The sequence below is a fragment of the Homo sapiens genome, chromosome 10 (genome assembly GCF_000001405.40).
Source record: "Homo sapiens chromosome 10, GRCh38.p14 Primary Assembly".
Classification (NCBI taxonomy): Eukaryota; Metazoa; Chordata; class Mammalia; order Primates; family Hominidae; genus Homo; species Homo sapiens.
The window spans coordinates 80,604,150-80,618,277 of NC_000010.11; the positions used below are offsets into that span (position 1 = coordinate 80,604,150).

At 47.4% G+C, this 14,128-nt stretch overlaps 1 protein-coding gene across 3 annotated transcripts in view; it reads left to right on the forward strand.

Moving 5' to 3' along the window:
• Window positions 1-14,128, forward strand: part of SH2D4B (SH2 domain containing 4B) — a 108,659-nt gene that overhangs the window by 66,248 nt on the left and 28,283 nt on the right. For 2 of the 3 annotated variants that reach the window (NM_001388272.1, NM_001145719.1), the window contains exon 6: window positions 5,275-5,402. In NM_001388272.1, coding sequence (NP_001375201.1) covers window positions 5,275-5,402 — 128 coding nt within the window. The remainder of the gene's footprint in view (window positions 1-5,274; window positions 5,403-14,128) is intronic. The other variant, NM_207372.2, reaches the window with a different exon arrangement.

Here is a 14,128-nt window from a genome sequence, read left to right on the forward strand (position 1 = left end):
AGACCTCAGATGGGTAAAGCATGGCCGGGCAGCCTGGACACCAGGGCTTGCTGCCTGTCGGAGCCCCAGGCAAGCCAGTTTTTCTCCAATTGGAATAGTAGGTTTGCAGTTTAGCATGGTTGGTTGCAGGCGGGTCCTCACACACATTTGTGTCCCCTGAGGGTTTGTTTGGCAAGGGCACTTAGGTGACTGTCCGAAATTGCCAGGACCAAAGGTTAGGAGGTTGCAGGGAACCTCTCTTCTTTCTACCTGCCCCCACCTTAGGCCACCCCAAGGTTTGGCCTCTCTCCTCTTGGGTGCCCTCCTTCCCTCATCATTGTTGAACAACCACTGTCCCCAGGAGGGCCAGAGGCTGGGTGGTGAGCACCTGCCTGCTCCTTTAACCTCAGGTAATCTGCAGAAGAGTCCAGTCACCCCCAGATAATGAAGGGGTGTCTGAGTTTTGCTTTGCCTCTGCCTGCAGTCTAGGGACAGTTGATGTCTTCATTTCTTCCCCTCCCCCCTTCCCACCCTTTCCTTTCTTGTCAAGTATAAGATTCCCAAACCAGAAGGTTTAAAAAGGTATACTGAGAAATGGCTGACTCCCTCTCTCCCTCCATCTACTCCACTCCCCCTTCTTCCAGAGGTCACTACTGTTCTTAGTTTTTTTTTTTTCTTTTTTTGAGACAGAGTCTTGCTCTATTGTCCAGGCTGGAGTGCAGTGGCGTGATCTCAGCCCACTGCAAGCTCCGCCTTCCAGATTCACTCCATTCTCCTGCCTCAGCATCCCAAGTAGCTGGGACTATAGGTGCCCGCCACCACACCCAGCTAATTTTTTGTATTTTTAGTAGAGATGGGGTTTCACTGTGTTAGCCAGGATGGTCTCGATTTCCTGACCTTGTGATCTGCCCACCTCGGCCTCCCAAAGTGCTGGGATTACAGGCGTGAGCCACTGCGTCCGGCTCTGTTCTTCGTTTTTTATGTATCCACTCACTTTGTTTTTGCAGTTACCGTCATGAAAGGCCTTATTCCTCCTCTTTTTTTTTTGTGGAAAAGTTTGCATTTTATGCATGGGGTTCTGCACTTTGATTGCTTTCCCCTCATTTAACTAGTTTTTAGAAGGCTTTTCATATCAATTCTTATATTATCTATTTAGGCTTTTTTTTTAACAGGTGCATAGTATTCTATACAATGTGCTGTAAATGATCTTTTTATTGTGTTGTCTTTTCCTTATTGAGTTCTAAGAACTCCTTACATATTAGGGAAGAGGATTCTTTTGTCTGTGATAAACATTTTTTCTCAGTTTGGCACTTATTTTTTGATTTTCATATGAAATTTTTTGTCATGCAGGAATTCTTGATTGTTACAAGGTCAAATTTTCTTTTATATCTTCTTTTTTGTTTTGAGACGGAGTCTCACTCTGTCTCCCAGGCTGAAGTATAATGGCACCATCTTCGGTCACTCACTGCAACCTCCGCCTCCCAGGTTCAAGTGATTCTCCTGCCTCAGCCTCCTGAGTAGCTGGGATTATGGGTGCGTGCCATCACACCCGGCTAATTTTTGTATTTTTAGTAGAGACAGAGTTTCACCATATTGGTCAGGCTGGTCTCGAACTCCTGACCTCAGGTGATCCACCTGCCTTGGCCTCCCAAAGTCCTGGGATTACAGGTGTGAGCCACCACACCCGACCTCTTTTATATTTTCTAAATTTGGGGGCATAGTTAGAAAAGCCATCTCCTCATCTATGCTTTTTAAAAGAAACCTAGAATTTGTCCCTCAGGCCCATTTGATGGAGCCACATGGACCATGGTGCAACCTGGCTCTGGGCTGGCTTTGTGCAGCCAATAGGGGAGCAGTGGCCTCATCCAGAGTGAGCCTCAAAGGGGACAAGCAGCTGTGCATACAGGGCAGCAGGCCCAGGCAGTGAGAGGGCCCTCCTACCAGCCTCTCTCCTATAGCCGCCCCATGGGACGGGTGCCCATGGCCTCACTGCTGTCACCTCTGTGGCGCCTGTCAGCACACCTCATCTGTTTGTGCTAAGAGCAGATGCATGCCGCTGATGGGAGGAGAGGTTCAGATTCAGGAGTGAGGCTTTGGGCCAAGTGGCCTCGTGGAATACACATCTAGTATTTATACTCTTTTTTTTTTTTTTTAGTTTTGAGTATTTATTATCCTTATTTTAATAAAATTTATTTAATTGCACATTTATTAGATTTAACTTTTCTAAAAAAATTTGAGACTGAGTCACTCTGTCACCCAGGCTGGAGTGCAGTGGTGGTCCGATCCTGGCTCACTGCAACCTCTGCCTCCCAGGTTCAAGTGATTCTCCTGCCTCAGCCTCCCAAGTAGCTGGGATTACAGGCGCGCGCCAGTACACCCGGCTAATTTTTTGTATTTTTAGTAGAGATAGGTTTTCACCATGTTGGCCAGGCTGGTCTTGAACTCCTGACCTCAGGTGATCCGCCCACCTCGGCCTCCCAAAGTGCTGGGATTGCAGCCATGAGTCACTGTGCCCGGCCTGTTACATTTATCTTTTAATGATGGCTGTGTTTAACAACTGGCTTAGAAAATTCCTGAAAATTTAACAGTCAGCTCTTGTGGACCAGTATACAAGCTGCTCACATATCTTTTTACCCAGGCCCTACTCTTTACTGCTGGTATGACTTTGGCTAGTAATTTCAGTGCCAGTATCTATACTAAGGAAATTATCTGCAAATTGGAAAAAGCGCAAAGATGATTATCATAGCATTATTAATAATGGCAAAAAGTCAGAAGCAATGTAATTGTTTACAGTGAATTTTGGTTAAGTCAATTCACTGGAATGTTTTCTGAAAATAAAAGTGACTCCTTTGAAGGGTTTATAACAAGGGAAAATGCCATAGATTAGCTGAAAAAGAAAAAAGAAGTGAAAACTGTCTAATTTATATAGAATGATCAAAATTTTAAGGTATATAAATGTAGCATTTATATTCTGGGGGAGTCAGATTCCCTGCTTAGAAACTCTCTGCTTAGAAACGAATTCAAATCGACTGCTTAGAAACAGAGGGACAAGAGTGAGTGAATTTATTTTTTGCTGTTACATATAACTTCCTATTGCCTTCTAAGGAAAGCGAGTCCTAGAAACTAGAGGAGTTTTTCCACCGAGCACAGCTATTTTTTGGGGGATGCAAATGTGGAAGAAGAGGCTGGGTGAAGCAGGCTGCCCTGCACTGCTTAATGAAGAAGAAAGACATCTGAGGTTACTGAGAAGGAAGAGTGTGAGGACTGGGAACACAGGCTGGCTCTCTGTAGGGCTGTAGGGGGTAAAGGAAAGCCCAGAGTGGCAGCGAGTGGGAAGACAGGGGCTGGAGGCCAACTCCACAGATGACAGCTGTAAGCCATGCAATGTAACCTCACCCTCTGTCCTTCCAACATCTTTTCTCAAATCTACAGTGTTCACTACTGTGTGTGTGCATGCATGTGCATGTGTGAATGTATTCAGTTTAGGGCGAGTAAAGAAATGCCCCACGGATTTATTCTGGGCTTATAAGGAGGTACGCTGAGCACAGTGTCAAAGTGAGGGTACAGGGCAAATATGGAGACCACATGAGAGGACAGCTGACATTGATTTTATAAAAAACAAGGATAACCATGAATTCTAAATGCCAGTACTATTAGGTGGATGACAACAACAAAATAAGAATTTACCAGTCTCCTGTCACTCAGTTGGAAATGGCGAAGAGGCTTTGGTTGTTCAAGGTGGGCTGTTGCCTTGTTCCTCAGATGCTGTATTGTTATTATTATTTTGAGACAGAGTCTTGCTCTGTTGCCCAGGCTGGAGTGCAGTGGCACGATCTCAGCTCACTGCAACCTCCGCCTCCTGGGTTCAAGCGATTCTCCCGCCTCAGCCTCTTGAGTAGCTGGGAATACAAGTGCCTGCCACCATGCCTGGCTAATTTTTGTATTTTTAGTAGAGATGGGGTTTCACCACAACTCCTGTGCTTTTGTAAGGCAGAACCAGGACAGTGAACAGAGAGAGAAACCGGAGAACCTCAATTTGCTCTGGAAATGGCTGAGATTTCCTGCCCAGAAAATAGAAAGTATGACAGAGGAAATGGAGGTGGAAGGAAACAAAACCGCACATTGGTAACTATGGATGGAATGGGTGAGGGACTGAAGGCACAGAGGGCGGGAGGAGGAGGGGCACGGGAAGAGTTTAGATGAGGGAGCAGATCAGGCCAGACTGGTCTTGGCCTCCCAAAGTGCTGGGATTACAGGCGTGAGCCACCGCGCCCGGCCCAGATGCTGTATTTTTGTGCCATGATTTCATGCACCATGGTGTTACTGCATTGTACTTTACCACACAGTTGTGGGTGCCTGTCACGTGTCGTGTGCTGCCAGCTCTTAACTATGCTTTCAGTGTAGCCCGAGTGCAGGGGGGTCTCATGTGTCCAAGTCTATGTAAGCATCTGGGAACCGCAGTTCAGACACGAAAGCAATGACGAGCTTGGCTCACCTGTGAGAAAACTTTAAAACGTATCTACTCCCTCGTCTAAACTCTTCCCGTGCTCCTCCTCCTCCCGCCCTCCGTGCCTTCAGTCCCTCACCCATTCCATCCGTAGTTACCAACGTGTGGTTTTGTTTCCTTCCGCCTCCGTATCCTCTGTCATAGTTTTTATTTTCTGGGCAGGGAATCTCAGCCATTTCCAGAGCAAATTGAGGTTCTCCAGCTTCTCTCTCTGTTCACTGCCCTGGTTCTGCCTTACAAAAGCGCAGGAGTTGTGGCACAGGCAGGCGTCCCCTCAGAGGGCGGGGAGGGAGAGCTAAGGAGGGGACAAGACCCAGAATTGTTTCTGAGAGAGAGAAGGGGATGAGACACGCTCATTTACTTTCCGTCAGGAGCCTCCTTCATCCATGCTGGTATTTATGCCCTGGCCGTGCTCGAGGGAAAATGTGCCTTTTCTTTCCCTCAGACACCCCCTCCTAGCCTCTTTTCATTCTCACCTGTGTGGCTGTTTTTTGAAGCAATCGGTAACAGTTTTCTTTTAAATAAATAATAACAGATGGTACATTATAATCTGCAAAATGCCTTCGAGTACCTGGGCTGTTTTAATCCTCTTTGTAGGCATGGATATGGGCACCATGCTTAGCATATTCATTCTCTCATGGCCCTCCCCTGCCCCTTCTTCCACCCCCCCTTCCTCCTCCTCCTTTTACCTTCCTCTCCCTTCCTCTTTCCTTCCCCTCTGCCTTCCTCTCCCTCCGCTCTTTCTCCCTCCCTGACTCTTCTGCCCTCCCCACTTTCTTTCTCTTCAGCAGGACCTGGGAGCGCCCGCTGCGCCCAGTCTCCAGAGATGTCATCGTCCGCTGGTTTAAGGAGGAGCAGCTGCCTCGCCGAGCTGGCTTCGAGAGGAACACCAAGTTCATCGCCCCCTGGTTCCATGGTAGCACCATTTTTCTGGGCCCTGTGCCAGATGATTTCCACATCTTTGCCTCTCTCTGGGGTTGGGGAGGGGTGCTGAAGGACAGTTATAATCAGGGGGCAGAGGACTTTAAGCAATCTCCATTCTGTCCCTCTCCCAGTGGGAGTCCAGGAGGCTGCAGGCCCCAGGGATGCTGAACGGGCCTCCCAACTCTTCTGGGAAGGGATGAACATGGCTCTCGCCCACTGCTGTCACCTCACAGCCTCTGTAGCCACCAAGGGCCCCTCAGAGGCATCTTCTTTGTGGTCATAAGACAGTGAGCCCTGAGAGTTGCATGAGCTGCTGGTGGCTAGGACCCCCATCCCTGGATCCTGGCCACAGCCTGTCACACTGTAGGCTCTGGGTACATACTTGTTGATTAGATGACAGATGGCTGAATGAAGAGGTCAGTGTCACCCAAACATAGACTGTTAGGGCAGGGTGGCTCCTTGAAAGTCCCTCCTTGCTCACCTTGTTTCCAAAGCTCTGGCCTTTTTCCTGTCCCTCAAACAAGCCATCCTCTTTCCCATCTCAGACCTTTTGTGCTTGCCGTGGCTCTGCTCACATTTTCTGTCTTCCAGCAGCTCTTTGCATGGCTGGCACATTCTCATTTTCCATCTCAAACATCCCCTCCTCAGAAAGGCCTTTCCTGAACTCCTTACCTACAGCAGCCTTCCCCAGTGTCCCTCAGCTCACCCTGCTCATTTCCTGGACAGAGTGTGCCCAGTTGGTATTTATCAGATTTACTTATTGTCTGTCCTCCCACCTGAATGTGAGCCTGTGAGGTTAAGGAGCTTGCTTGTTTTCCCTGTGCCTGGCTCAGTAAGTATCCATGGGAAGAATGGATGAAGGTGGGAAGAAAATGTTTGGATTGGGATTAGATCCCAGGCTTTACAGTTCCGAAGAACAGCCCTTGCTTCTCTGCATTGAAAATCCAGAGCCACACATGTGAGGGTCAGATGAGCCTTCCCAGGTGGTCTTAATGCTTGGTGAGGTCAGGGACCTATGTATTAGGCCTCTCTGTATTCAGCCCTCACCCCTGCCTCTCACCCAGGGACCAAGTACAGAAATACCTCCAAGATGAGCTTGCCATCTTCCTCTGTTGCCACTGCTGTTGAGCTCTCCAACCCAATGAATAGCATCCGTGTCATGTTGGTCAGATTGGATATACCTCGGTCACAAATGCTTCTGAAGTCTCAGTGACCCCCACCAGTCAAGGTTTATTTCTTACACATGTTACGTGCCCTTTGGGAGTTGGTTCAGACTTTAGTCTGCGCCTCAGCCTGAAGGAGCTGCCTCTATTTAAAACGCTGATGGTTAGTCAGGCGCAGTGGCTCACGCCTGTAATCCTAGCACTTTGGGAGGCTGAGGCAGGAGGATCACTTGAGGTCAGGAGTTTGAAACCAGCCTGGCCAACATGATGAAAGCTTGTCTCTACTAAAAATATTTTAAAAAATTAGCCAGGTGTGGTGGCAGGCCCCTGTCATCCCAGGTACTCAGGAGGCTGAGGCAGGAGAATTGCTTGAATCTGGGAGGCAGAGGTTGCAGAGAGCCGAGATTGCAACATTGTACTCCAGCCTGGGCAACCAGAGCGAGACTCAGTCTCAAAAAAAAAAAAAAAAAAAAAAAAAAAACATTGATGATCTCATGACAGAGGGAAATGAGAGACTTGGAGAACCACACATTGGCTCCTAAAGCTTTTGCAGGAAACTGACACGTCAAGTTGTTGCTCACATTCTGTTAGCCAGAACCAATGTGGCGTCCATGGTACAGTGGATAGTTTCGAAGGATAATCTAGTCTGTTATGACCACCGTCCACTTTCAGACCTCTTTCTTCTCCCAGGTCACCACACATCTGGCAGAAGGTTGGACTGGCTCTTTAGGGCTCAGAGAGAAGACAGCACTCATGGCTGACTGAGCCATGTGTCCCTGGAGCTGGTGCTGGGGATTCTCTGCCTCTCCCTTCTGTCCCAGTTATGTGTCCCTGTAGCCCCGGTAGAACTTCCATTTAAGTCACCACTGTGCTTTTTCTTCAGACGTTACTATGGTCATGGAAGTGCAGCACTGGCATCTTAGGGAGCTGTGGAGTGTAACTCAGGAGTGGCACGTGGGTGAGAGTGGGCAGCTGTGCCGGGTGCTCCAACTGCCTTTGGCAGCCAGTGGAGAAGGTGCGACCAAGGTGCTCAAATTATTTTTAGCTTTGTTTTCTTTTTTGACTTTTTTTTTTTTTAAAAGGTAACTTTTATATTGTCACAGAACAAACAGAACCAAGATTTAAGTCTCACAATTTATGTAGCTAATTTCATGTTCTGACAGTTCTACCATAAAGCATGCAGAAAAGTTGCTGTTACACAGGCTGGAGCTATTTTGTGACAGAATTTTCACTGATCTGTGACAGAAGGAAAGAAAAAGGCTCACATATGGAGGGTGGCCAAGTAACTTTGCTTAGAAAGGACTGTGTCATATTCTAAGATTATATCCTTTCCTCAGTTTTAGTGTTAAAATGTCCTATCTTTTATGAATTGATGGGATAGTAAGTCATGGTTATTTTTATATATTGCCTTTGCTTGAAAAAGTAAAAAGTTAGCAGCCCGGGACCTCCCCCACTCCTGCTTTTTTTTTTTTTTTTCAACTTTACTCACTTATAAAATCCCAAAGTCTGGAACAGTGAGTGTGTTCCCACTTCTCTTTCAATATAGGAATTCCCTGGTGGAGGGGCTAGGACTTCCTCTGTACCAATTCCTACAGAGGCAGGTGGCCTGCACCAGTCTAATTTGTTAAGGAGTTTTTGCTGCAGGTTGGCAGGGGACTCGGCTCTCCCTGGGCTTGGTTGGGCGTCTCAGCTGGGGCATCTCTGCACCATGGATCTATTACACTCTTCTGGGACCAGTGGGCCAGCTCAGGCATGCTCTTCTCATGGTGACAGGACAGACATCAGAGAGCAACTGGAAGCATGCCAGGCTCTTGAGCCCTATTCTTAGAGCCAGCACCTTGTCACTTTGCCTTGTACCTCACAGAGCTGAGGAATGGGAAAATATATTCTGTCTTTTTCTTACGAGGAACTGCAGAGTCCTATGTCAAAGGGTGTGGCAACAGAGAGGGAAGAAGAATTTGAGCCAATAATATAATCTGTCAGAATCCCAATACAAATCTTTTCTTTCCCAGATAAAAGAGTCTTAGTTAATTCAGTTAGATTTCATATGCAGGTTAAACATGACTACTCGAATGATTTCCTTCCCTTTCCTCAAACACATGTGGATTTGTGCCAGTGTTATCCAAACAGCAAATAGACAAAGAATCTGAAGATATGGGGTCCATTCTAGAACTTAGCGGCTCTGAGACCTTGGATGTGTCCTTTAAATTCCCCATCTGTGAAACTGGCATTGTAACATCTACTTCACAGGACACTTACGAAGATTGAGCCAACAGGAGTGCTTTGTCCACCATAAAAAGCCATGCCAGTGTGTTTCCTGATGTTTCCTGGGATCTGGGGTCAACCACCAGAGGCTCCTTTGGGAAATCAGGTTTGGGGAAATGGGCACAGAGTGCAGAGTGAGAGGGGACTGGGAACAGGCTTTTCTCTGGGACCACAGGGTTCTAGGTAGAGTCTCCTGGGTTACAAAGAGTGATAGTAATTCCTTGTTTCTCCTTTGTTCATTGTTATGTTCCAGGAATTGGGAGAGAGATTGTAGTTATATCAAACTACTTGTGAGAAATGCTAGTACATATAACCTTGGCTTTGGGGAAAAAGGTATTTTCAAAATTCGACATGTATCTAAAATTATTAAGAATGTTCTCTGTCTGAACATTGGCTCAGTCAGAACCCATTTCTCTTCCTGAGCTTTACTTCTACAAAAACAGTCACAATGTGGTCTATGATTTATTGTCTGGGTGACAACCCATTGGCTGCCTTGCTGCTTGCCCATAGGGCTTGGCACAGAATGGGACTACCCGGTGGGTGACATCATTGGCATTGGTAAATTATCTCCATGTGACCCTGCTCAGGTGCTGGGAGTGGATCTCAAGCGTGGCCTCACCTGGGCTTGGGTGGGCCTTTGGCTGTCCTCTGTAGGGTGTTACTGGCATGCTTCTTCGTGAGCAAGCACAAACGGGGGACCCCACCTGGGAGGAGGATACTCCCCAGCCATGTAGACAGTGCAGGGATCCCAGCAGTGAGGGGCAGCTTTCTTATGAGATGCGAGAGCTCCAAAGTAGAATGGACACTTCTTCCCACCTGCTTCCACTGTGACCTCAGAATACATTCAGAGAAGAGCACTGAAGGTCACAGAGCTGCTAGGGTCTAGAATGGGCCCCACATCTTCAGACTCCTCCGGATTGCTGTTTGGATGACAGCACACAAACAAAACATTGCTGTGTTTGAGGGAAGGGAAGGAAATATAAATCACAGAAGTCATTTTAATGATTACTTCGGGAATGTTTATCTTGGAAAGGAGAAGCTGTGGGGAGGAATGGGTAGAGGAACAGAACCACCCCCTCAGTCTCTGGAGTTCTGTCTTGAGAAAGGGGGATTGCTAAAAAGGTCAAAACTGGGCTCCAGGTGTGTGAGGCTGTTTTTGTGTTGCTGTAAACAAATACCCGAGGCTGGGTAATTTATAAAGAAAAGTGGTTTAATTGACTCACAGTTCTGCAGGCTGCACAGGAAGTAGCACCAGCATCTGCTTGGCTTCCGGGGAGGCCTCAGGGAGCTTTTACTCGTGGCAGAAGGCGAAGCTGGAGCAGGCATGTCATGTGGCGAGAGTGGGAGGAAGGTGGGTAGTGGCAGGTGCCACACACTTAACCAGATCTCATGAGAACTCACTCACTGTGGTGAGGACAGCACCAAGCCATGAGGAATCTGCCCCCATGACCCAAACACCTCTCACCAGGCCCTACTTCCAACACTGGGGATCATGTTTCAACATGAGATTTGGGTGGGACAAATATCCAAACCATATCCCTGGGGATGGATGGGGATTCTGAAGAAACACATTTCACTTTAGTAGAAGAAAGAGCATTTTTGATGGCTGCACCTTGCTATTGGGCAGTCTTGATGGCTAGCGAACCCCCCAGAATGGGGAGTGAGGGCCTTTACACCCTCTGCTCCTGACCTCTGCCATGCAGTGTGGTTCTGAGGGCAAACACTGCTGATATTGCTCCAGGGCCCTGCCCCTGCCAAGCCACTGAAGTTTGCTCAGGTTGTCATGAACATTGGAAAGGTTGGCCGGGGCCTGGGGCTGGCCACAGGGTAGGTGCCTGGGAGTCTGTGGGCTGAGGACTGAGGATGTTCTCCACCCTGTGACTGTCGGACTTCACCTTGCTCATTTCTCCGTTGATGTTGTGTTGGTGGTATAGAAACTGAGGTGTAAGCAATGGTGATCCCCTCCTGGGTAGCCCTCCTGGGAGCCCTGTGGATGAGGGGCAAACCCACTGGCCATCCTGCAGGGAGGAAACCCCCAGAGAGGTGGAAAGAACTGTGCCCTGGGAGGCAGCAGCTGAGTGGGAATGGAGTTGGGGCTTGGCCCCTCTGACTGCATGCACTGGGAGGGAGGTCTCCTGTCTGAGCTGTATGGAGCAGGAAGGGGTTGGACAGGCTGGCTGCTGCTGACCTTTGCCATCCTCGGGCTTGATGCTGCCATGCAGTCCTGCATCCCATGGCACTGCCAATTACTGCAAGAGCTGGTCATGGTTAGCCCTTTACAGGTGACCCCACTGAGGACCAGAGAGCTTGAGAAACTATCCCACATTTGTCCAGCAGTCAGCAGGGGAGCTGGGATGAAAAACCAGGTTTCTGGCTCTTAGTTTTACCTATTCCATTCTGGCTGTCTCTTTGCATATACTGCCATCCAGGGATGGAAACTGGGACAGAAAAGTGCCCTCTCTGCATTTACAATCCCTTACTGTATATTCGGAGAACTTCTTTTAGGCTCGGCCTGGGTTCTTTATTTTAAATCTCACCCCTCCTCATTCCTGACCTTGGCAATCAGAGCTGGCACTGGTTTCCTGACCCAGCTTGAGGGAAAATCTGGGGATGCCCTGTTTGGTCTTTGGGATTACTCCCAGGAACTAGAATTTCTGGAGCTAAGAGGGAGAGAGTGTGCCAGTCCAAACCCCTGTTCTTGGCTTCCAGGATTAGTAGGAAGACAGGAAATGCTGGTGAAGATTTGGAATCTGTTGAGAGGGGACAGTTAAGATGGGGTTCTTGGGATCTTGGCAGTGTGGACCCAGGCACTAAAAATTCGTGTTTAGCAAGGAATTGCTGAAGAAACCAGGAGTGGAGAAAATAATAACACCCACTACGTAGTAGTGTTGTGAGGATTAAATGTATCAACATTTTTAAAGTGTTTAGAACATGGTGTCATGCAATAAATGCTTTGGTTTGTTATATGGAATAGACAAACATGGTGGCACATCAGGAACCGAGGCACGTGCAAGGTGGTTCATCTCTTTATGGCATACTAAGTTATGTCACTGCTATCACTCAGAAATAAAGAAAAAGACCTGTGCACAAAAGAAAGATGACACTGATTTAGCCTTCCAAAAAAAAAGTGCAAGTCTGAATTTTCTTCTATTATGAGTATGATACCCATCTTGAAATATTTTTTAAAAGTCATTAGGGGTAACGCAGGGGCCATTTGGAAGCTTGGTTAGCATGTCACAATCCATCATGGCAAGCGAGATTGCTAATTTTCTTCTCTTGGGCAGAATTTGGAATGGAAATTTTCTACCAACTCTGACCTCAAATGCAAAACTTTCTAAAGGAGAAAAAGAAGTAGGTCAGTTGACCCACTTTCCTCTTAAGTTCTTGCTTTAGCGGTTCCAACTGAAAAATAAAGGAATATTTTCCTTCATGTTTTTTTCAGGTGTGCACTGGCTATCTAGTCTCCAAAAGAGACTACAAAGAAGAATGAGACTATTTTTGCTGTAGGAAAGCGTAGGTTGTAATGGTGTTCCTGAAATTTTAACCCTTTTCTATCAGCTATCTGTAGTTCTGGTGTCCACTTTGCTTCCAAGCCTCGCATCCTGTATGGGGCTGTCTGTCTGGTGCACGAAGGTACCTTTTGGATCAGTGGCATCCCTGGGCAGAGGACATCTGACTTTTTACTTCTTGTCAGATGTACATTGGCTGGTATCTATGGGATGTGGTGGTTGGCCTCACCTGTGGGATTGTATTGGCTTTTTGTGTTTTAACTAATAATTTGGGAACAGTTACTTTGTGCTGGCATTGTGTCCAGTAAACCTTGAACATCCAGTATTTCACTTACTTCCCAAACAACTCTCTGGACTGGGTAATAATGGTAGCCATTACGTACATAGTGCTTACAGTATGCTGGACCCTCTTCTAAACATTTCTCATATGTTCATTGATTTAGTCCTATGTGACATCACCATGCACTTGCTGCTAGCATTAGCCCCATTTCACAAATGAGGAAGCTGAGGCACAGAGAGGTGAAGTCAGTTGCCCATGGTTATGTTTTTAGTAAGTGGGGGAGGTGGGATTCAAACCCAGGTGATCTGGGTTCAGAATCCATGCTCTTACCTGTGATGCAGTGCAGCCTTGCTGCCATCTCACAGCTGAGGGGAAGGTTCAGTAGCTGCTCCAGGGCACACGGTGCTCTGGGGAATCAGTTCCTTTCTAGGCCAGGTGGTCTCCTTGAGGGTGGAGAGGTGGCCATTTTCTTTAGGAGGTGCCCAGCCATCTCTGGGCTGTGGAGCCAACACTGCCCTGCCTTACTGCTAACCAGGAAAGTGTCTGCTCCTCCTGAGGCCGGTGCCACCCTCCTATAGAATTCCTGAAGAATGCCATCTGGGTTCCCATATAGTCTGCAAAGTCCTTAATGCAATTAGGGTAAAACAGGGAATTGTGTGTTTCAGATTGTTGAGTTACCTAGACAGGGGCAAGAGAAGACAGACTCCCTGAGTAAAGGCATGTAAATAATTCATTTGTTGATTATTACTGTCAAGTTTGTGTTGAGTGCTAAGTACAGGGTGTGTGGTGATGAACAAAACTGGTGCCTTCCCTACCCTCATGGAACTTACATTCACTTGTGAGAAACAACAACAAAAAATTCAAACTGATGTAACCTAAAAGAGAATTTTCAGCTCATAAGACTGAAAAACCCACAGATAGGTCTAGCTTCAGGCTTTGCTTGATCCAGGGAGCTTAGGCTTTTCAGCAACCAGACTCTCTCCATCTCTCAGCTCTGTTGTTTTCTATGTTGTTTTCATTACCAAGCAATGCATCAGCCTGAGGTTGCATGCCTGCATTCTCCCAGGCTCAAATCCAGCAGAAGAAAGGGCCTGCTTGTCTCTCAACAGCCCCAGTATTAGTCCCAATAGTCTGCTTTGTTGGGTCTGGGTTGGTCATATGTTCACTTCTGGACCAGTCACTGTGGTCAGGCAGGTGATCTGCCTTGATTAGCTAGCCCTGGGTCATATGATCATGCCTAGAGTAGGTGGGTGGAGAACACCCTATTGGAACTGCACAGACTGAGAGTACGTGGCGTCCCAAAAGGTCACAGTTCCCTTGCCAGAAGATAGCCACTGAATGATACTGGGCAGGCAAGACCAATCTGTGTTCACCACAGAGGGAAAAATAACCTGGCTTCTGCTCTAGCGAAGCTGTCAGTCTAGTCAGTGAGACTGATATTAAACAATCATGCCATAAATGTATACATCCAATGGAGGTCAGTATTATACAGGATCTTGCC